We start from the raw sequence: 24,345 nt of genomic DNA, 5'->3' as shown, positions 1-24,345 counted from the left end.
TTTTGCCCATTCAGTATAATGTTGGCTCTGGGTTTGCTATAGACAACCCTTATTATTTTGAGTCATATTATTTTGATGCCTAGTTTGTTGAGGGTTTTTATCATGAAGTCACGTTGAATTTTATTGAAAGCTTTTCTGCATTTTCTTAGATGATCAGATGGTTTTTGTGTTTAAATCTGCTTATGTGGTGAATCATATTTATTGATTTGCATATGTTGATCCAACCTTGCATCCCAGGAATAAAGCCTACTTTATCATGGTGAATTAACCGTTTTATATGCTGCTGGATTCAGTTTACCAACATTTGATTGAGAATTTTTTGTCTACGTTCATCATGGACATTGGCCTCAAGTTTTCTTTCTTGACTGTGTTTCTGCCAGAGATTGAGTTTGAAAGGATTCCCTCCTTTTTTTGGAATAGCTTCAGTAGAACTGGTACCAGGTTTTCTTTATACATCTGGTAGAATTTGACTGTGAATCCATCTGGTCCAGGACTTTTTTGGTTGGTGGTAGTTTTTTTTTTTTAATTACATATGATTCAATTTCAGAGTGAGATATTTCTCTATGCAAAGCTTCAATCTTTTCCTGATTCAATTAGAGACTGTGTGTTTCTAAGAATTTATCAATTTCATCTACAGATTTTCTAATTTTTATGCATAGAGTTGTTCATGGTATTCTATGGGAAACTTTTGTAATTCTGTGGGATCAGTTATAATATTATCTTTGTTATTTCTGACTGTACTTATTTGGATCTTCTCTTTTTTTCATTGTAAATCTAGCTGTTAAACAGCAGTCTATCAATCTTGTTCATCTTTTCAAAGAACAAACTCTTGCTTTTTTTATTTTTTTCTATGGATTTTTGTATCTCAATTTCAATAAGTTCTCTGATTTTAGTTATTTCTTTTCTTCTGTTAGCTTTTTCTTTTCTAGTTCCTTTAGGTGCAAAGTTAGATTGCTAAATTGAGATATTTCTAACTTCTCGATTAGTGCATGTAGGGAAATAAACTTTCCTCTTAACACTGCTTTGGCTGCATCTCAAAGATTTTGGTAAGTCACATTCCTATTTTCAATATTTCAAAGAATTTTTCTTAAATCTACCTTAATTTTGATGTTCACCTAAGAGTTATTCAGGAGTAAGTTGTTTAATTTCCCTATATTTGTGTAGTTTTGAGAGATCTTGATTTTGATTACTATTTTTATTTCACCATGGTTCAAGAGTTTGCTTGGTATAATTTCAATTTTTTTGAATTTATTGAGATTTGCTTTATGATTGAGCATGTGGTTGATCTTAGAATATGTTCCATGTGCAGACGGGAAGAATATATATTCTGTGGATGTTAACTGGGGTATTTTGTAGATGTCTATTAGGTCCAATTGGTAAAGTGTTGAGTTTATGTCCAGAGTTTCTTTCTTAGTTTTCTTCCTTAATGATCTGTTTAGTGCTGTCAGTGGGGTGGTGAAGGCTCCTGCTGTTATTGTTTGGTTGTCTAAGTGTTTTCATGGGCAATGAAGAACTTGGTTTATGAATCTGGGTGCTCCAATATTGAGTGTATATATATTTAGTACAGTTAAGGTTTCTTGTTTGATTGTACCCTTTATCATTATGTAATGCCCTTCATTGTTCTTAATTTTTATTGGTTTAAAGTCTATTTTACATGATACAAGAATAGCAACTTCTGCTCTTTTTTGTTTTTTGTTCACATGTTAGATCTTTCTCCATTCTTTTGCTGTGAGCCTGTGGTTGTTCTTAATGTGAAATGGGTCTCTTGAAGATAACAGATGGTTGGATCTTTTTATCCAGCTTGCACTCTGTGTCTCTTAAGTGGAGCATTTAGCCCATTTACATTCAAGGTTAGTATTGATATCTGTGATTTTAATTCTGTTATCACGTTGCTAGCTGATTGTTATGTAGACTTGATTGTGTGGTTGCTTTATAGTGCCTGTGTGCTATGTGCTTAAATGTGCTTTTGTGGTATGACTGTCATTCTTTCTTTTCCATGTTTAGCACTCCCTTAAGGACCTCTTGTATGGCTAGTCTAGTTGAAACATATTCCCTTAGCATTTGCTTCACTTCACTTTTAAGCTTAGTTTGGCAGGATATGAAATTATTGGTTAAAATTTATTTTCTTTAAGGATGCTGAAAATAGGCTACCAATCTCTTCTGACTTGTAAGATACCTGCTGAGAGATCTGCTGCTAGCCTGATGAAGTTCCTTGTATGTGACTTTACCCTGCCCTTTAGCTGCCTTTAAGACTTTATTCTTTAGTGTTGACCTTGATGAATATTGTACTATGTGCCTTGGAGGTAGTCATTTCATGTCATATCTAGCTGGGGTTCTGTGTGTTTCTTGGATTTGTATGTAAACCTCCCTAAAGAGATGAGGAATTTTCATGAACTGTATCTTCAAATATATTTTCCAAGTTGCTTATTCTCTCTCCTTCTCTCTCAGGAATGACAATGAGTCATAGATTTTTTCGCTTTACAAAATCCCATATTCTTGGAGGTTTCACTTATTTTTCTTATTTTTTTCCTTATTTTTGTCTGACTGAGTTGATTTAAAGAAGTCGTCTTCAAGTTTTGAGATTAGTTCCTCAGCTTGGTCTATTCTGCTGCTAATACTTCTGATTATTTGATAAAATTCTGATAGTGAGTTTTTCACCTCTAGAATTTAAGTTTGGTTATTTCTGAAAATGGCTATTTTATCATTCAGCTCTTGGATTGCTTTACTAAATTATTTGAATTCCTTGCATTGAACTTCAACTTTCTCCTGAATCTCAATGAGTTTCCTGGCCACAGATTCTGCATTCTGTGTCTGTTATGTCACTAATTTCAGACTGGTTAAAAACCATTGCTGGGGAGCTAGTGGACTCATTTGGAGGTAAGGGTACACCCTGACTTTTTGGATTGCCAGAGTTCTTGTGCTAATTCTTTCTCATCTGGGAGGGTTGGCATTTCTTTAACTGTGGTGTAAGTTGTGAATAATCAGTTGGCTTAATTTCTGAATGCTTTTAGAGGCCCAAGGCTCTGTACAGAATCTTTATGTGTGGGTAAATTTTTGACTTGGTTTCACAGCTGTATATATTAGCAGAATAAAATTTAGGTGTTGTAGTTTGGGCAGCAAATCCAGTGAATGAGGCTTAACAGTAATGACTGGTAGCTAGGTTAATACCTGGTCACAGGGCTTTTTGTACTTCTTGTGTTCATAGATATGCTCTGCAGTGGGGAGGGAGTGATATGGTTCCCTCAACAGATCTGCTTGTAAAACTTGAGAGAGCTCCCTCTGATAGCTGGTGCTGTGCCCACATTTTTTTGTTAGGTTTTCTGGGCCACATGGTCTTCTTGGGCAGAAGCTGTGGCAGGGAGATATGCCACATGCTTTTTGGACTGGACCTGAGAAGGGAGGCATGTTCCACTCTTACCCCAGCTCAGGAACCCATGCATCTCACCCCTTTCACGGCTCTGAGATTAGGGGCTCTTTCTCTGTTTGAGTGCCAGCCACAAATCTTGGTTCCATACTCCCAAGCTGCAAACTACAGCCCTGGGGTCACTGGGATATCCCATGGCTTGGGTTCGGGTTCTTTCTGCACTGAGGGATACAGTGTGCTCCAGAGTCATGAAGAAAGTATGCAGGTGCAATTACACACTCAGGCTGGCCTTCCAGGACTGCACTATGCACCTGCTCCTACAGGGCAGCTAGGCATGGACCCTGGGAGGGGCTTGTAGGCAGAAGGGCTTGCAGAGCAGATGCACCCCAGTCCTGCAGGAAAGCTGGCCCAACTCTCTTCTAGCTTGGAGGTCACTAGGGTTCCATGCCTCCCAGAGGAGAATGGAAATCCCTGGGAAATGGGCATCTATGGCTGCTCTTGCCTGCAGTGGTCCAGCACACAAAAGCTCCTGGGGTCTATGCTGTCCAAAGGTCTGTCTCTGCCTGCTCCCCAGGGAGATCCCCCTGCCAGCTCACACATCCACGGTTGTGTAAGGTCCCTTGTAGCTAAAAAATCAGATGCTCACAGCGAGAGTGAACCATCCCTCAGTTCCTTCATTCAGTCCTTTCCTGGAATTGTTTGTGGCCAGGAATTAGCCTTAGCACTTGGGTAGCTAACTCAGGGTTTCCAGCTTCCTCCCTCTTCAGTCTTGGCTTCGGCCTTGCCTCTCCATCCACTTTCAGCATTTTCTCCCTGAATGCCTGTTCAAATTATGGTGGTTTACCTAATAACTTGGCCTCTCTTGAGAGGAGTGGCACTTCCTGGCTGTGTCTAGTCGGCCATCTTGTTCGTCTCCTCTATCTTAAAATGGAGTCAATCAATCCACTACAAATAATGTGATTTGAGGAAGTCCAAAGCTCTAATTCAGGTTTTTATTTGTTTTGTATGCTTTCCTGGTTTTTTTTATTGTTAAAAACTATCTCAACAAATTTATTTTATTCTGTCCAATAAATGTACATTTCATCTAAATTTTGGTATTGAGCTTTTTTATACATCCTATTTCCAACCAAAAAGACTTGTTGTTTTTAAGTAAATGCAACTTAATTATCCTATTTCTATTATTTAGATACTATCATTCCTTCTATCTGGAGGTCTCTGTAATGGTTGTATTAACAGTACTCAAAAGTAATGTGGATAATAATAATTGTGGATTTTGTTCTTGTTTTTAAATGTCTTTAATCATTTCACATAAAGTTGTAAGACTTTGAAGCATTTGAGAATTTCATACAAAACATTTCTGAAAGATAAATTTTCTCATATTTTCTTGGACACGTTAATTGATCATTTTAGCTAGTCTTTGAAGAAATCCATGAAAAAGTACTTGTTACTATTTTTACCCACAGCAGCATAATTTAAATTTGAGTTAAATAGGCTTGTAAACAAATTTGTATAAACACAATGGGAAATGACCTTCCCAATAGTATAGCTAAACTAATAAACTAATTATGGTAGGGATGAGCAATTATAGTCCAAGCAATGTAAACTCAATTCATATGTGGAAAACCACAGGGGCAAGGGGAATACAGTATATAGACAGTGTCAGAACAAGAGACTGCTAGGAGTTCTGGGTTTTACCCTTCTCTACAGATAGACATTGTCTACCCAGCTTCCCAAGAGACCACCATGTAAACGTTTTCTTTCAACTCATCAAGATTAAAGGTTAATAATATTTTATACAAAAATAATGTGTTCTTTTAAAAGGTAGTAAAAATTTCTGGGACAGAGATTATGTTCTTCAGCAATCTTACAAATGATTTATTGGTTTATTTACATAAAATCAAATCAGTGAATATTCTATCTTACATTAGCTGAACTACAATAGCTTCCACAATAAGTCAAGCACAAATTTTAATCCATTTAACAACCTTTAGCAAACATTTATTTAAGGACTCTTATGTTTCAGGGATAGTAATGGTTACTAGGTAAACACAGCAAATCAATCTCAATTCTTGCCTAAAAAGTACATAATCTTTAAGTTTCAAGATAATAGAGCCATATAATCTAATAAAATAAATAAATTCATCTGTTTTATTAAACAATTATTTGGTACCGACTATGTGCAAGCTATTGTGTATATTTTGGTATGTGCTAAAATTCTATGATTCTGTGTATGTTTTTCATGTACCTATTTTTAATAAATTTATATTTTTTCTTAATACTATGACACAATTTGTATTTTTAATCTTTAAAGTCTTTCACTATTATTCAGTTTTTGCCAATATTCCCTCACGAAGTCCTTGTGGCATGTCTTAGCTTTTTTCTGAATGCACTTTTATCATATTCATATGTATTATGAATCTTTCAAGACACAGTTCAGTAGTCATCTCCTCCACCCCACCATGATACTTATAGACATATACACCACCCAAATGAGAATAATCTTTTCCCCTTGTAAATGCTTATAGAATTTTCTCTGTGTCCCGAGGAATTTGCCTTTTGTTACAGTGCATTGTGTATATGCCTCCTCACTTCAATACATTGTGTTTCTGTAGAATAGCGTTCATATCTGTTCATTTTTATTTTCTTGGAATTTAGGGAGAGTTTCTGGTGTATAATGGAGCCTATTATGTGCTTTTTATGTAAATTTTATGTATATTTAATTTGAAATTATACCTTTCAAAATTCTTGACCATTCTTTACATATTTAATAACAAAATTGAAATAAATGAATTAAAAATGTATCACTCGATTATCCTTCCAGAAAATTGTACCTTGGTTTCTTTCAGAGAGAAAATATTTGACAATCAACAAGGAGATTTCTCTAATATGACATATCTGAACCAAAACAACAAGCATAAAATGGGTGATTAGTCATTATATAATATTATAAAAATCTATAGAAATCTCTTAATCAGAACATTTATGAGAAATGTCATAAATTTAAAGTTAATGTGAATTGCTTTTATATTAGTGTATTGTTTGTAAGCTGTCTACCCATAATGTTAATTAGCATGGATATAGTACAAACAGAGCTACAATCTGTACTAATATTTATTCTTTGTATAATTCTACTTAAATTATTGGATGGAAAAAGTTATTTCCAATACAAACATTGAAACATACCCTAGAAATCCGTCTATGTAGTACATTCTTGCTCTGGTTTTGAAAAAAAGCATATCAGGTTGTTTACCAACGGAATAAAATGACAGACGAAATAATGAACATCCTAGATTAACCCAGGCATCTCTACATGCATAGTTAAATGTTATTTTAATATCCGGCCGGATGGCATGTAAAACTGTAGAATTTAATGTCTATCTAACCATACCAAACTTTCCAAATATTGTTGCAATGTTTCTTTTTAAAAATAAAAATACAAATTTTACTTAGAAATCAAATTGAAAAATAAAGTAACTATTGACAACAAATACATGTAATGAAATTTTACAAAGAACACGTTCATATATATATATATATATATTTATGATTGATCACATTAATTGGAGAGTTAAACATAAATACTTTTAGCATGTTTTCTACCCTAGAAAATATGGAAGATAAAGCTCTGTTGTGCCTCTTCATCTTCCTAACTAAGCAAGTATTTTATAAAGCACTGAGGTGTAATTCTCTTTACAAAGTGATAAATCCTTTACACAAAATTGTTCCTACTGAAGATAATAATTCTCCAATTACAGAAGCATCACCCTTTTACAGTCAATTTTGCCCCTCTAATTCCAGCCATTTACTTGAAAACAATTGGGACACAATTTCAAAGTTGGCATCAACTTTGGCAGTAGCCACCCAATTATGATAAAATAATATTTTTAATATAGTGTATTCTATGTAAATAAACAATTTCTTTTACGTATAGATTTATTACAAATATAATTTTAAAGTTTTTCAAACATGCAATTTAATATATTCATTTAGATCATAAATTTTATAATTTACATTGAAATTGGGAAAATTAATTTTATTGAAAGTCTCATTTTCTTTTCTAACGAATTTTGGTAACGCAAAAAATACAAAATTTACCATTTCCTAATTGATGTAAGGTTATTACTTAGGACTCTATCACAGCCTTTGAAATAATTTGATTTATGTAATCTCCTTTGCTATAGAAATTTCACCTAGCAAAAATCTCCACTTTTATTTTTAATAACATTTGCTTGATACTTAACACAAATGTCTTTCAAGCTGAGGAGGCCACATGCTATCACTGCTTGATGTATGTAGAGATTCATCACTCTAAATAATTTGTGCATCACTATATTATATGAAGATATGCTTGATTTTTACTGATATATTTTTGTTACCAGCTTACACTATTTAAAATAAGGCAAAAAAAAAAGAACAATTGAGAAATTACGACAGATTATCCTATTGAATTTGCAATCAAATATGCAAGTTATTTCTTTATCTAGTAATTAATATTAAGATCCTTTTATGTGCAGAACACTTTAGTAATTAGAAATATAATATTCAAGAAAAATAGACACAGTTTCCATCTTCAAAAATTTAGTCACTTTTTAACAATGAAAACTGTGTTTTTAAATAATCTGTGCATATGTCTTTGTGTATATGCATGTGTGTGTAATATTGACTAATTATTTGATGATAAAATATAAGTGATTTATCATAAAATCAGCTTTTACTTTGCATGGTCATACTGAACTTATTCTCAAAAAAATAATAAAAATAAACCAGCTGCAAGAACAAAACAAAGAAATATTTAGAAGTTCCATTTTTTTGAAAGATATTTTAGTAGCAATAAAGTTCATATATTTCAGTTTGTAAGTAATACCTAGCTTGTGACATGCAATTATAAGAAGACCTATAATTCGTTTTTTAGCTATTTTCGCTGTATGGACAACAAAATATATATTACATGACTCTACTAAACATGTCATCTTTATAAATTTTTCTCTCAGTTCTATCTGTTTTTTAAATGTATTCTTTTAGTCCCTACCTTCTACTACGTATTATTTAGTTTTATTTTCTGTAGTTTACTTTTTAACGAAGGTAAGCTTTTGCTTATCAAATTATTTAAGAAAATCTATTTTGACACACCCTAAACAAATATTTATGATGCATATTTTTAGCTTGCAAGAAATAAAAGGATTCTCCAGACAGCTGAAGATAATTATAAGCAGAAACTAGAGTGAGAAGTAAGGATATATGAAATCAGGGAATTAGACTGAAAACAATTGCCTATATCAGCACAATGATCTGGGAATTCAGCCTTTAGATGTCCGTAAGCTAAGGTAGCTAATTTACTGAAAATCCAGGTTCAATTAATCTAGGTACACTAAAAAAGAGTAAAATTTGGGACTTCTTCTTATGAGTTGTAGCCAATTTAGGCTTCAAGGATTTCAAGAGAGGGAGACTTTATATTTAAATTTATATTAAATATTATTTAAAGTAGGCAAACTATTTTCAAAAAATAAGATAAATAAAAGCAAACAAAATAAATTAAAATGACCAATAGTTTTAGATAACCAAAAGCCACCAGAGTTTTGAATAATTAGAAACTGATTAAAATCATTATTAAAATATTTAAAGAAATAAAATATAAACATATGAGAAAGCAAAAAGGTTATTGAAAATTTTAAAAATGATTCAAAAAATGCCACATACAAATTTAAAACTGAGAAAATAAATCATATGCCCATACGTTTTGTAATATAAATGAAATAGGTCAATTCTTTGAAAGATCCAAGCTACCAAAACTCACACACAAAAAAATAGATAACTTGGATGTATTATCTATTTGGATATACATATATACAATTGAATAATTAAGACTATTCCAAAAAGAAAGCCTGAGACCCACATAATTTCACTGGTGAATTCTACCTAATATTTAAGGAGGAAATAATACCAATTTTCCACAATTTATTCCAGAAAATAGAAACAGAGAAGATTTTTCCTAATTCATTCTCTGAGTCAATCATTATCCAATACTGAAACTTATATAAAGCCCTTGCAATACATAAAATGTACAAACCTTTTTTGCCTGTGCTTTGGGGATTGTATCCAAATACCTTTTTCAAGAATAATGTCAAGAGCTTTTCGTATGTTCTCTTCTAGTAATTTTATCTTTTTATTAATGTTTAATTATTTTACCCATTTTGAGTTGATTTTTGTATATGGGGTGAAATTAAGGATTCATGTGGATAGCCAGTTTTTCTAACATCATTTATTGAAGAGACTGCCATTTCCCCATTGCAGGTTATTGGCACCTTTGTCAAAGATCAATTGGCTGAAGACACTTACCTTATTTCTGGGATCTCTGTTTTGTGCCATTGATCTATATGCCTGTTTTGTGCCAATTCCATACTCTTCTGAATTGGAAATATTTGTAGTAAATTTTGAGATCAGGTTGTGTGATGTCTCCAACTTTGTTCCCTTTGCTTGAAATTGCTTTGGATATTTGAGTCTTCTGTGGCTCCATGCAAATCCTAGAATTACTTTTTTTTCTTTCCATTTTTGTGAGAAATGTCTTGAGAATTTTAATAGAGATTGCACTGAATCTGCAGATATCTTTAGGTTTCATGGGCATTTTAATAATACTAATTCTTCCAACCCATAAACACATGATATCTTTCCATTTATTTGTATCTTCTTTAATTTTTGTCATTAATATTTTCAATAGTTTTTCAATGTACAGATCTTGCAACTCCTTGTTTTTCGTATTTTTGATGCGATCATAAATGTTTTTTTCTTCTTTCTTTTTCAGATATTTCACTGTTAGTAAATAGAAACACTACTGATTATTGAACGCTTATTTTGTATCCTGCAACTTTATTAAATTCATTTATTAATTTTAACAGTTTTTTTGGTGGAGTCTTTACAGTTTTTATATATAAGATCATATCATCTGCAGAGACAATTTAACTTATTCCTTTCTGATTTGGATACATGTAATTTCTTGCTTATGCCTAATGCCTGTCACTAGGACCTCCTGTAGACACTTCTCAAAACAGAGGGCATACAAATAGGCAATAGGAATGTTTAAAAATGCTCAACAGCAATCATCAGGGAAATGCAAATTAAAACCACAAGGAGATATCACCTCGCAGCTGCTCAAGTAGCTTTTATCAAAAAGGCAAAAGCTAACAAGTGTTGGTGAGGGTGTGGATAAAAGGGAACCATTGTACATTGTTGGTAGGAAGGTAAATTAGTACAGGCATTTTGGAAAATATTATGGAGTTTTCTCTAAAATCTAAAAATATAGAACTCCCATATAATTCAGTAACTCAATTTCTGGATATATATCAAATAAAATGAAATCAGCATGTTGAAGAGATATCTGCATTCCCATGTTCACTGCAGTGTTGTTCACAATGGCCAAGATATGGAATCAACCTAAGTGTCCATCAGCAGAAGAATGAGTAAAACTAATGTGGTATATATACACAACGAAATACTGTTCAGCCTTGAAAAGTACGTAAATTTATATAGATGAATCTGGAGGACATTATGACAAATAAAATAAGCCAGGCACAGAAGGATAAATACAGCATGTTCCCACATATATGTGGAATCTAAAATAGTCAAACTTACAGAAATAAAAGCAGAATGGTAGTTAAAAGGGATTGGGGGAGATGGGAAGATACTGGTTAAAGGGTATAAAGTTTCAGATAGGAAGAATAAATTCTGGAGATATATCGTGCAGCATAGTGACTGTAGTTAACAATAACGTATGGTATGTTTGAAAACTGCTAAGAGAGCAGATTTTAAATGTTCTCACCACAAAAAATAAGTATGTGAGGTGATAGATATTGATTTAATAATTTCACAATGTATACATATGTGAAAACATCACGTTGTACCCCATAAATGTATACAATTATTGTTTGTCAATTAAAAATAAACTAAAAAGAAAAAACTAGACTAATATATCTGAAGAACACAAATGCAAAATTCCTCAACAAAATGTTAGCAAACAGAATTCAATAGTATATAAAGAGAATTATAACCATAACAAAACAGAATTTATTCAAATATCCAAAAATGACTGAACACACAAACCAATCAATGTAATTTACCATTTCAACAGGCTAAAAAAAAAGAAAAAGTATGTGATTATATCAATAGATGCAGCAAAACCTTTTGGCAAAAATTCATCAATTCATTGACCAAACAAACAAAAATATCTCATAAACTAGGAATAAATGGGAGCTTTCTCAACTTGATAAAGTACACTCATGAAACCTAAAGCTAACATCATAAATAATGGTCAGAGGCTGAATGTTATATCTTTAAAGTAGGGAAAAGGCAATTATAACTTCTGTTGCCACAGTTTTGAACATCTCACTGGAAATTCTACCTAATTCAATAAGACAAAAAATAAAAGGTACTCTTAATGGAAAGAAAAATACCTGTCTTTATTTGCCAATTATATGATAGCCTATATGTAAAATCCTCAAAAATCTACAAGGAAAAATCTTCTGGAGTGTATCAGCAAGCATAGCAAATCAGGGCACAAAGTTCATGTACAAAACTCAATTCTTTTTCTACATACCAACAATGAAATTTTGGAATTTGAAATTTAGAAAACAATATTATTTTCAATGTAGCAGAAAATAAAACATTTATGTATAAATTTAACAAAATATGTGCAGATTTGTATGCAAAAAGTTAAGACACAGATGGAACATGTTAAAGATCTAATTATATGGAAAACATTCTATGCCACTGACTGAAAGACCCCAATATTACTGACACACTTTTCTCCCAAATTGATCTACAGATTTCATTCAATCTCAAATAAAATTCCATCAAACTGCTTTGTAGATATAGACAAACTTATTCTAAAGTTTAAATAGAAAGGCAAAAGATAGCCAAAAAAAGAAAAAAAGTACAATGTGGAGACACAAACTACCCAACTTCAGAACTTATAGTATAGCTATAATAACCAAGATTATATGATACAGTTAAAAGAAACATATAAATCAAAGAAAGAGAATATAGACATAGGACAAAATAAATATGATCAACTGATTTTTAACAAGGACATAAAAGAAAGTTGAAGGAGTGATGGCAGCCTTTCTCAAAAAATGATGCATCACCAATTAGATATCTATATTTAATAAAAGAACCCAAACACAAATTTTACAATAAAATTAACTTAAAACAGATCATACTTATAAATATAAAACGAAAAACTATAAAATGTCTAAATACATGTAAGAGAAAATCTGCGTGGGTGAACTGAGAAGTTTGGGTGCAGTGAGGAGTTTTTTTAAGATAAAACACTAAAAACACTTTCAAAGAAAAAATGACAGGTGTACTTCATTAGAAGTAAAAACTTCTGTTCTGTGAAAGACACTATTGGAGTATTAAAAAATGCACAGACTGGAAGAAAATATTTGTGAAACACATACCTGATGAAGAAATTTTATCCAAAAATGTAAAGACAGACAACCCAATTAAAAAACTGGACAAAAATTTAAACAGTCGTCTAATCAAAGATGATGGGCAGATGGTCAATAAACATATAAAAATATTCCCAATATCATTTGTCATTTAAAAAATGCAAATGAAACAATAATAAAATGTCAGTACATATATACTAGAATGACTAAACTCCAGAAAATACTGACTGATGATATAACTAGTGATGAGCATGCAGGGCAACAGGAATTGTCACTCATTGCTGGTGGAAATGCAATGTAGCAAACTACCTTGAAAGACAGTTTGGTAATTTCTTACAAGGACAAAAATAGTCTTCCCATACAATCCAGTAGTTGACATCTTGTTATTTACCCAACTATTCTGAAAACCTATGTTCACACAAAAACTTGAATGTGAGTATTTATAGCAGTTTTATTTTGACTGAAACTGAAAAAAAAGTCAGATGCCTTTAATAGGTGAATACATAAACAAACTGTGGAATATCCATACAATACAATACCATGTATGTATGTGTGTATTTATTTATAATTTTTATTTTAATTAACATAGTAGGTACATAGTAGGTGTATTTGTTTATGGGATACAAGAGATACTCCATAAATGTATGCAGGCATGCAATGCATAATAATCACATTATGGAAAATGGGGTATTCATCCACTCAAGCATTTATCTTTTGAGTTATGAACAATCCAATTAAACTCTTTTAGTTACAATAAAATGTACAATTAAATCATTATTAACTATAGTTACCCCGTTGTGCCATCAAATACTAGGTCTTATTAATTCTTGCTATTTTTATTGTACCCATTAACATTTGCACCTTCTCCCACCCCCATTGCCCTATTGCCATTCCCATTCTCTGCTAACCATTCTTCTATTGTGTATCTCCATGAGTTCAATTGTTTTCATTTTTCGACCACACACATAAGTCAGAATATGCAATGCTTCTCTTTCTATGCCTGGCTTGTTTAACTTAACATAATGACCTCCAATTCTATCCATATTGTGCAAGTGACAAAATCTCATTATTTTTATACCTCAATTGTTCTCCATTGTGCATAAGTACCATATTTTCTTTATTTACTCATCTGTTGTTAGACACTTAGGTTGCTTCCAAATCTTGGCTATTGTGAACAGTGCTGCAGTAAATGGAGGAGTGCAGATATCTCTTTGATATACTGACTTCCTTTCTTTTGGGTATATCCCCAGATTTTTGGAATGCTGGATTAAATATTATCTCTCTTTTTAGTTCTTTGAGGAACCTCCAAATTGTTCTCCATAGCAGTTGAACTAACTTACATTCCCACCAACAGTGTAGAAGGACTCCCTTTTCTCTACATTGTTGCCAGCATTTGTTGTTGCCTGTCATGAGATAAGCCATTTTAACTGGGAAGAGATGATACATCATTGTAGTTTTATTTTGCATTTCTCTCAAGATCAGTGATATTGAGCATATTTTCATATGCCTCTTTGCCATTCGTATCTCTTCTTTTGAGAAAACTCTGTTGAGAAATGTCTATTCAAATCTTTTGCCAATTTTAAAATCAGATTACTAGTTTTTTTTTTCTACAAAGTTGTTTGAGCTTGTTTTTATACCCTGGTTATTAATCTCTTGTCAGATGGATAGTTTGCAAATATTTTCTCCCATTCTGTGAGTTGTCTCTTCACTTTGTTGCTTGTTTCCTTTGCAGTGCAGAAGATTTTTAACTTGATATAATCTCATTTGTCCACTTTGCCTGTGCCTGTGGGTTATTACTGAAGAAACTTTTGCCCAGACCAATGTCATGGAGAATTTCTGCAATGTTTTCTTATAGTGGTTTCATAGTTTCAGGTCTTAGAGTTAAGTGTTTAATCCATTTTTATTTGATATCTTTGTATATGGCAAGAGATATGGATCTAGTTTCATTCTTATGCATACGGATATTCAGTTTCCTCAGCATTATTTATTGAAGAGACTATATTTTCCCCACTATGTGTTCTTGGCTCCTTTGTCAACAATAAGTTCGTTGTAGATATGTGGATTTGTTTCCAGGTTCTCTGTTCTGTTCCATTTGTCTATGTGTCTGCTTTTATGCCAGTATCATGCCATTTTGGTTACTACAGCTCTGTAGCATAATTTAAAATTAGGTAATGTGACTCTTCTGCTTAGGAGAGTTGTGGCTATTTGGGATGTTCTGTGATTTTATATAAATTTTAGAATTTTTTTATTTCTGTGAAGAATATCCTTGGTATTTTGATAGGGAATACAGTGCAAAATACAGTACATTGCCTCTGTAGATTGCTTTGGGTACCATGGGCATTTTAAAAATATTGATTCTTCCAATCCATGAAAATAACTTTCCATTTTTTGATGTCTTCTTCAATTTCTTTTATCACTGTTTTACAGTTTTTATCACCGAGATTTTTACTCATTGGTTAAATAAATTCCTAGGTATTTAATTTTATGTGTGGCTATTGTAAATGATATTACTTTTTATTTCTTTTTCATATTGTTCACTGTTGGTATATAGAAATACTACTGATATTTGTGTGTTGATTTTGTATCTCGTAACTTCATTGAATTCGTCAGTTCTAATGATTTTTCTAGTGGAGTCCTTAGGTTTTTCAAAATATGAGATAATATCTTCTGCAAACAAGAAAAATTTGACTTCTTCCTTTCCAGTTTGGATGCCCTTTATTTTTATTTCTTGTCTATTTTTTCTAGCTAGCACTTTAATTCTATGTTGAATAATAGTGGTGAAAGTTAGAATCACTGTCATGTTCCAGATCTTTGAGTAATGACTTTCAGTTTTTCCACATTCAGTATGATACTGGTTGTAGGTCTAACATATGTGATTTTTATTATATTGAGCTATGTTCCTTATATACTCCGTTTTTTATAGGTTTTTACCATGAAGGGATGTTGAATTTTACCAAGTGCTTTTTTTAGCATCATTTGGAATGATTATATGGCTTTTATTCTTCATTCTATTGATATCACATTCCTTGATTTGCATGTGTTGAATCATCCTTGCACCCCTGGGATAGATCTCACTTAGTCATAATGAATTATCATTTCAATATGTTGTTGAATTAAGTTTGTTAGTATTTCTTTGAGGATGTTTGCATCAATGTTTATCAGAGATATTAGGCTGTAGTTCTCTTTTCTTTATGTGTTTTTGTCTGCTCTTGGTATCAGAGTAATACTAGCCCCATAGAATGAGATTAAACACGTTCCTTCCACTTTTTTAAAAATACTTTGGGAGTAGGATTGGAATTTATTCCTCTTTAAATGTTTGGTAGAATTCAGCAGTGAAGCCATCAGGTCCTTGGCTTTTCTTTATTGGCAGACTTTTTATTACAGCTTTTATCTTGTTACTTTGTTATTTATTCAGGTTTGGAACTTGTTTATGGTCCAATCTTCGTAGGTTGTATGTGTTTAGGAATTTGCCCATTTCTTCTAGATTTTCTAATTTATTGGCACATAGTTGCTCACAGTAGCCAATAATGATGCTTCGAGTATCCATTGCACTGTTTTATTTTTCATCTCTGATATTATTTTTATTTCTATTATTCTGGGTTTTTTTCTTAGTCTAGCTGAAGGTTTGTTGATTTTATTTAACGTTTAAAAAAACAACTTTTATTAGTTGTTTATATTGTTTTCTTTCTTTCAATTTTATTTATTTCTGCTCTGATCTTTAGTATTCCTTTTTTTAGTAATTTTAGGTTTGGTTTGATCTTGCTTTTCTGGTTCTTTAATATGCATCATTAATTGTTTAAAGTTTTTCTTTTTTGTTGTTGTTTTTATTTTACTTTAAATTCTGGGATACATGTGCAGAATGTGCAGGTTTGTTACATAGGTTTACATGTGCCATGGTGGTTTACTGCACCTATGAACCCATCACCTAGGTTTTAAGCCCCGCATGCATTAGGTATTTGTCTTAACGCTCTCCATCCCCTTGCCCCCCACCACCCTACAGACCCAGTGTGTGATGTTCCCCTCCCTGTGTCTATGTGTTCTCATTGTTCCACTCCCACTTATGAGTGAGAACATGCGGCATTTGGTTTTCTGTTCCTGTGTTAGTAGTTTCCTAAGAATGATGGCTTCCAGCTTCATCCATGTCCCTGCAAAGGACACGAATTCATTCTTTTTTATGGCTGCATAGTATTCCATGGTGTATATGTGCAACATTTTCTTTATCCAGTCTATCATTTTTGGGCATTTGGGTTGGTTCCAAGTCTTTGCTATTGTAAATAGTGCTGCAATAAACATAGCTGTGCATGTGTCTTTATAGCAGAATGATTTATAATCCTTTGGGTATATGCCCAGTAATGGGATTGCTGGGTCAAATGGTATTTCTGGTTCTAGATCCTGAGGAATTTCCACACTGTCTTCCACAATGGTGGAATTAATTTACACTCCCACCAACAGTGTAAAAAAGTTCTTATTTCTCCACAGCCTTGCCATCCATCATCTGTTGTTTCCTGACTTTTTAATAATCACCATTCTCACTGGCCTGAGATAGTATCCCATCAAAAAGTGGGCAAAGGATATGAACAGACACCTCTCCAAAGAAGACATTTATGTGGCCAACAAACATATGAAAAAAAGCTCATCATCACTGGTCATTAGAGAAATGCAAACTTTTCCTTTTTTTATTTTGATGTTGGCACTTATAAACTTCCTTAGTACTGATTTTGCTATATTCCATAGCGTTTCATATGTTGTGTTTCCATTATCATTTGTCTCCAGAAATTTTTCAAATTTTTCCTAATTTTTTCATTGACCCACTGGACATTCAGAAGCATATTGTTTAATTTCCATGAATTTTTTATAGTTAAAATTTCTCTTGTTGTTGATATCTAGTATTACTCCACTGTGGGCAAAGAAAATGCCTGGTATTATTTTAATTTATTTTGAATGTTTTAAGACTTGTTTTGTGACCTTTCATATGGCCTATCCTTGAGAATGATATATGTGCTGAGAAAAAGAATGTGTATTCTGCAGCCATTAGATAACATGTTCTGTACATAATAGGTCCATTTGTTCTACAGTACACATTGTCTGATATTTCTTTGTTGCTTTCATATCTGGAAGATCTGTCCAATGCTGAATGTGCAGGGTGGAGTCTCCAGCTATTATTGTATTGGGGTCTATCTCTCTTTTTAGTTCTAATAATATTTGCTTTATATATGTGGGTGCTCCAGTGTTGAGTGCATGTATATTAAAAATTCTTATGTCCTTTTGCTGAACTGACCCATTTATCATTATATAGTGACTTTGTCTCTTCTTAAGAGTTTTTGTCTCAAAATATATTTTGTCTGATATATATCATATATTATCATATATAATGTATTATATATTGTATATGGTATAGATATGTATGTATCATATCTGTATATATATGTCATATGTGTATCATGTATGTGCATATCATATGTGTATATATACACATATATATTTTGATATATTATGTTATATATATCTCAAAACATATTTTGTCTGATATATATCATATATTATATATCATATATAATCACACTGATATATATCAGTGATATATAATATATGACATATAATATCATATATATCATATATATGATATATATCATATATATCATATATATGATATATATCATATATATCATAGAACATATATAGATAGATCATATATTATATATTAGATATATTATATATGATATATATACATACATACACATGTATACATATATACATATATACGTATACATATATACATACATACGTATACATATATACATACACACATACGTATACATATATACATACATACACATATATGTATACATATATACATACATGTGTATACATATATACATACATGTATGTATACATACATGTGTATACATATATACATACATGCATGTATACATATATACATACATGTATGTATACATACACGTATGTATACATACATGTATGTATACATATATACATACATGTATGTATACATACATACATATATGCATACATATATACATACATATACATATGTACATACATATATGCATATATTATATACACATATATATCATATACATATATGATATATCATATATAATACGTTATATCATATATAATACGTTATATATGATATATCATATCAATCATATATGATATATTATATGTGATATATATATCATATATGTGATATATGATATATGATATATGACATATAATATATGATATATAATATATGATATATAATCATATTATATATCATATGTTATATATAATATATATCATACATTATATATTATATATGATGTATATGATATACAACATATGATATAAAATATATAATATATTATAATGTATGTATCTATTATATTATATATATGATCATATATAATATATGATGATATATAATATATAATCATATTATATATTATATATGATCATATATAATATGATCATATATGATCATATATCAAATATGATCATATATAATATATAATATGATCATATATCATATATGATCATATATAATATATAATATGATCATATATGATATATGATCATATATAATATATAATATGATCATATATGATATATGATCATATATAATATATAATATGATTATATATTATATATGATCATATATTATATATGATATATATGATCATATATAATCATATGATCATATATATCATATATAATCATATATATACACATATGATATACATATATAATATATAGGTACTCCTGCTCTCTTTGGTTTCCATTGACATGGAATTTTTTTTCTATCTCTTTCTTTTCAGCCTATGTGTATCTTTATAGGTGAAGTGTGTTTCTTGTATGCAACAGATTAATGGGTCTTACTTTATCATCCATTTGGCCAGTCTATATCTTTTGATTGGACAGTTTAGTCCACTGACATTCAATGTTATTATTGATAATAAGGACTTATTCCTGCCATTTTGTTAATTATGTCTGGTTGTTTTATGGTCTTCTCTTCCTTCTTTCATTCCTTCCTGTCTTCCCTTAGTAAAGGTGATTTTCTCTGCTGATTTAATTTAGTTTCTTGCTTTTCTTTTTTGGGTATTCATTGTATGTTTTTGGTTAGAGGTTACCATGTGCTTGCAAATACTATGCTATAACCCATTATTTTAAGCTGATAACAACTTAACACTGTTTGCATAAACAAATAAAGAAAACCTACACTTGACTTTGTCTCCCTGCTCTTTAACATTTTGTTGTTTCCATTTACATCTATTGTATTGTCTATGTCTTGAAAAGTTGTTCTAGTTATTATTTTTGACTGGTTCATCATTTAGGCTTTTTAGTTCAGGAAAGAGTTGTTTACACACCACAGTTAGAGTGTTGTACATTCTGTGTTTTCCTGGATACTTACTATTACAGTGAGTTCTGTACCTTCAGATGATTTCTTATTTCTTATTAATGTCCTTTTCTTTCTGATTGACTTACTTCTTTTAGCATTTCTTGTAGGGTAACTTTGATGTTGATGAAATCACTCAGCTTTTACTTGTCTGGGAAAGTCTTCATTTCTCCTTCATGTTTCAAGGATAGTTTCATCAGCTAACTACTCTAGGGTAAAAGTTTTTTTGTTTTTTGTTTTTTTCCTTCAGCTCTTTAAATATGCCATGTCACTCTCTTCTGGCCTGTAAAGTTTCCACTGAAAAGTCTGCTGCCTGATGGAATTCTACTTTATGTTATTTTTTTTTCTTTCCCTTGGTGGTTTTGGGGTTTTTTTCTTTATCCTTCATCTTTAAGAGTCTGATATGGTTTGGCTCTGTGTCCCCACCCAAATCTCATCTCAAATTGTAATCCCCATCATCCCCACGTGTTAAGGGTGGGACCTGATGGGAGATGATTGGATCATGGGAATGGTATTCCCCATACTATTCTCATGATAGTGAGTTTTCATGAGATCTGATGGCTTCGTAAGTGTTTGAAAGTTCCTCTGACACTCACACACTCTCTCTTGCCTGCTGCCATGTGAGATATACCTATTCGCCTTCTGTCATGATGGCAAGTTTTCTGAGGCCTCCCCAGTCATGCAGAACTGTGAGTACATTAAACCTCTTTCCTTTATAAATTACCAACTCTGGGGGAGTTCTTTATAGCAATGTGAAAATGGCCTAATACAAGAAATTGGTACTGAGAGTGGAGTACTGCTATAGACACCGAAAAGAGTGAAAGTGACTTTGGAACTGGGTAACAGGCAGAGGTTGGAATAGTTTCAAGGGCTAAGAAGAAGACAGGAGGACGTGGAAAGCTTGGAACTTCCTGGAGACTTATTGAACGGTTGTGACCAAAATGTTGATAGTCATATGGAAAATGAAGTCCAGGATAAGGTGGTTTCAGATAGAGATAAGAAACTTACTGGGAACTGGTGTAAAGGTCATTCTTGCTATGCTTTAGCAAAGAGACTGGTGTCATTTTGCCCTGTCCTAGAGATCAGTGAAAATTTGAACTTAAGAGAGATCATCTGAAATTGGAACTTATGTTTAAAAGGGAAGCAGCGTAAAAAAATTGAAACATTTGCAGCCTGACAATACAAAAGAAAAGAAAAACGCATTTTTCTTGGGAGAAATTTAAGCCTGCTGCAAAATTTTCATAATAATGAGGAGCTGAATGTTAATTGCCAAGAGAATGGGAAAAATGTCTCCAGGGCATCACAAACCCAGAGGCCTAGGAAGAAAAGATGGTTTTATGGGCCAGTCCTAGGGCCTTGCTGACTGTGCCATCTCAAGAGTTGGTGCCCTGCATCCTAGCCATGGCTAAAAGGTGACAAGGGATAGCTCAGTCTGCTGCTTCAGGGGGTGCAAGCCCCAAGCCTTGGCTGTTTTCATGTGGTGTTGGGCCAGCAGGTGCACAGAGGTGAAGAACTGAGGTTTGAAAACCTCTGAGTAGATTTCAGAAGATGTATGAATATGCCTGCCTATCCAGGAATATGTATGCTACTAAGGGAGCCCTCACGGAGAACCGCTGCTAGGGTAATGCAGGAGGGAAATGTGAGGTTGGGTCCCCAAACAGAGTGCCCACTAAGACACTGCTTACTGGAGCTGTGAGAAGAGGCCACCATCTTCCAGACCCCAGAATGGTGCATCCACTAACAGCTTGCACCATTTGCCTGGAAAAGCCACAGACACTCAAAGCCAGTTCATGAAAGCAGCTGGGATGGGAGCTGTACCTTGCAAAGCCACAGAGGAAAAGCTGCCCAAGACTGCGGGAGCCGACCCTTTGCATTAGTGTGACCTGGAGGTGAGACATGGGGTCAAAGGAGATTACTTCGGAGCTTTAAGGTTTAATGACTGCCCCGCTAGATTTTGGACTTGCAGGGTGCCTGTATCCCCTTTGTTTTGGCCAATTTCTCCCATTTGAAATACATGTATTTACCCAATGCCTGTATCCCCATTTTATATAGGAAGTAAGTAACTTGCTTTTGATTTTATGGGCTCATAGGCAGAAGGGGCCTGCCTTTTCTCAGATGAGACTTTGGATTGTGGACTTCTGAGTTAATGCTAGAATGAATAAAGACTTTGGGGGACTGCTGGGAAGTCATGATTGGTTTTGAAATGTGAAAATACATAAGATTTGGGAGGGGCCAGGGACAGAACAATATGGTTTGGTTCTATGTCCCCACCCAAATCTCATCTCAAATTGTAATCCCAATAATCCCTATGTGTTGAGGGAGGGACCTGATGGGAGTGATTGGATCATGGGGGCTATTTCCCCCATGCTGTTCTTGTGATAGTGAGTGCTTAGGAGACCTGATGGTTTTGTAAGTGTTCAACAGTTTTTCCTATACACACACACTCTCTCTTGACTGCTGCCATGTAAAATGTACCTGTTCTCCTTCCACCGTGATTGTAAGTTTCCTGAGGCCTCCCAAGCCATGCAGAACTGTGAGTCAATTAAACCTGTTTTTGTTATAAATTACCCAGTTTGAGGCAGTTCTTTATAGCAGTGTAAGAATGGACAAATAAAGTCTGATTATTAAGTGCCTTGATATAGTTTCCTTTGGGTTAAATACACTTGGTGTTCTATAACCTTCCTTTACTTACATATTGATATCTTGCTTTAGTTTTGGGGAATTCTCCATTGTTATCTCTCAGAATAAACTTTCTACCCCTCACACTTTCTTTACCTCATCTGGTAGATCAATAATCTTAGATTGCCCTTTTGAAGCTGTTTTCTAGATCCTGTAGGTGTGCTTCGTAGTTTTTTTATTATTTCTCCTTTTTTTATCCTCTGACTGTATTTTCAAATATCCTGTCTTCAAGCTCACTAAGTCATTCTTCTGCTTGACCAATTCTGCTATTAAAAGACTGTGATGCATTCTTCAATGCATCAATTGTGTTTTTCCACTCGAGAATTTCTGCTCGATTCTTCTTAATTTTGTCAATCTCTTTGTTACATTTACCTGACAGCATTCTGAATTCCTTCTCTGTGTTACCTTGAATTTTTTTGAGTTTTCTCAATAAAGCTATTTTCAATTCTCTGTCCAAAAGGTCATGTATCTCTGTTTCACAAAGATTGGTCCCTGGTGTCTTATTTACTTAATTTGGTGGAGTTATGTTTTCCTGGATAGTCTTAATATTTATAGATGTTCATTTGTGTCTGGGCATTGAAGTTAGGTATTTATTGTTTTCTTTGCAGTCTGAGCTTGTTTGCGATTGTCCTTCTCGGGAAAGCTTTTCAGATATTCAAAAGGAATTAGATGTTTTAACTTAAGCTGTATCTGCTTTAGGAGCTACCCCAGGACCAGTAACACTGTTGTTTTTGAAGATTCATAGAGGAACCGCCTTGATTTTCTTGATCAAGATCTGGAAGAATTATCTCAATTGCCAGGTAGAATTCTTGTTCTTTTCCATTACTTTTTCCCAAACAAATGAAGTCCCTTTTTCTCTGTTCTGAACCACCTAAAGCTGAGGGTAGAGAAACCCAAGCCCTCCTGTAGTCACCACCACTAGGACAGCTCTGGGTCAGACTTGAAGCCAGCAGGTTCTTGCCCAAGGCCTGCTATAACCACTACCTGCTACTGCCTATGTTTGCTTAGGGCCCTGAGGCTCTACAATCAGCGGGTGCAAAGCCATCCAGGGCTGTGTCTTTACCTTCCACTTGGTGAGTTCCTCCAGGCCCTGGGCAGGTCCAGGGTTGCCCTCCATTAGACAGCCAGGGACTGAAGTCTGAAACCTTAGAAGTCTACTGGTGTTCTATGTTCTATTGTACTGTGGCTGAGCTGGCACTCAAATCACAAGATGCAGTCCTTCCCACTCTTCCCTCCCCTTTCTAAAGACAGAGAAGTCTCACCCTATAGTTAGCACCACCACCACAGACCCACAAGGAGTACTACTGACTACTGCCAATGCTCCCTTAGGGCCCAAGGGCTCTTCAGACAGTTCATGGTGTGAATGCTCCTGGCCTGAGACTCACCCCTGAGGGCAGTGAACTCCCTTCTAATGCTATCCAGAAATGCTGTCCAAGAGCTATATCCTGGAATTGGGAATCCCA

At 33.2% G+C, this 24,345-nt stretch overlaps 1 long non-coding RNA gene across 1 annotated transcript in view; it reads right to left on the bottom strand.

The window, feature by feature from the left end:
- Positions 1 to 23,998, bottom strand: part of LOC105373437 (uncharacterized) — a 45,933-nt gene extending 21,935 nt beyond the window's left edge. The window contains exon 1 of the long non-coding RNA XR_922813.1: positions 23,946 to 23,998. This is a non-coding gene — a long non-coding RNA (uncharacterized LOC105373437). The remainder of the gene's footprint in view (positions 1 to 23,945) is intronic.
- Between the last annotated feature and the right edge of the window lie 347 nt (positions 23,999 to 24,345).

Source organism: Homo sapiens, chromosome 2, assembly GCF_000001405.40.
Source record: "Homo sapiens chromosome 2, GRCh38.p14 Primary Assembly".
Lineage (NCBI taxonomy): Eukaryota > Metazoa > Chordata > Mammalia > Primates > Hominidae > Homo > Homo sapiens.
The sequence above is the reverse complement of the archived record's forward strand: the minus strand, read 5'-3'. Positions and strand labels throughout refer to the sequence as shown.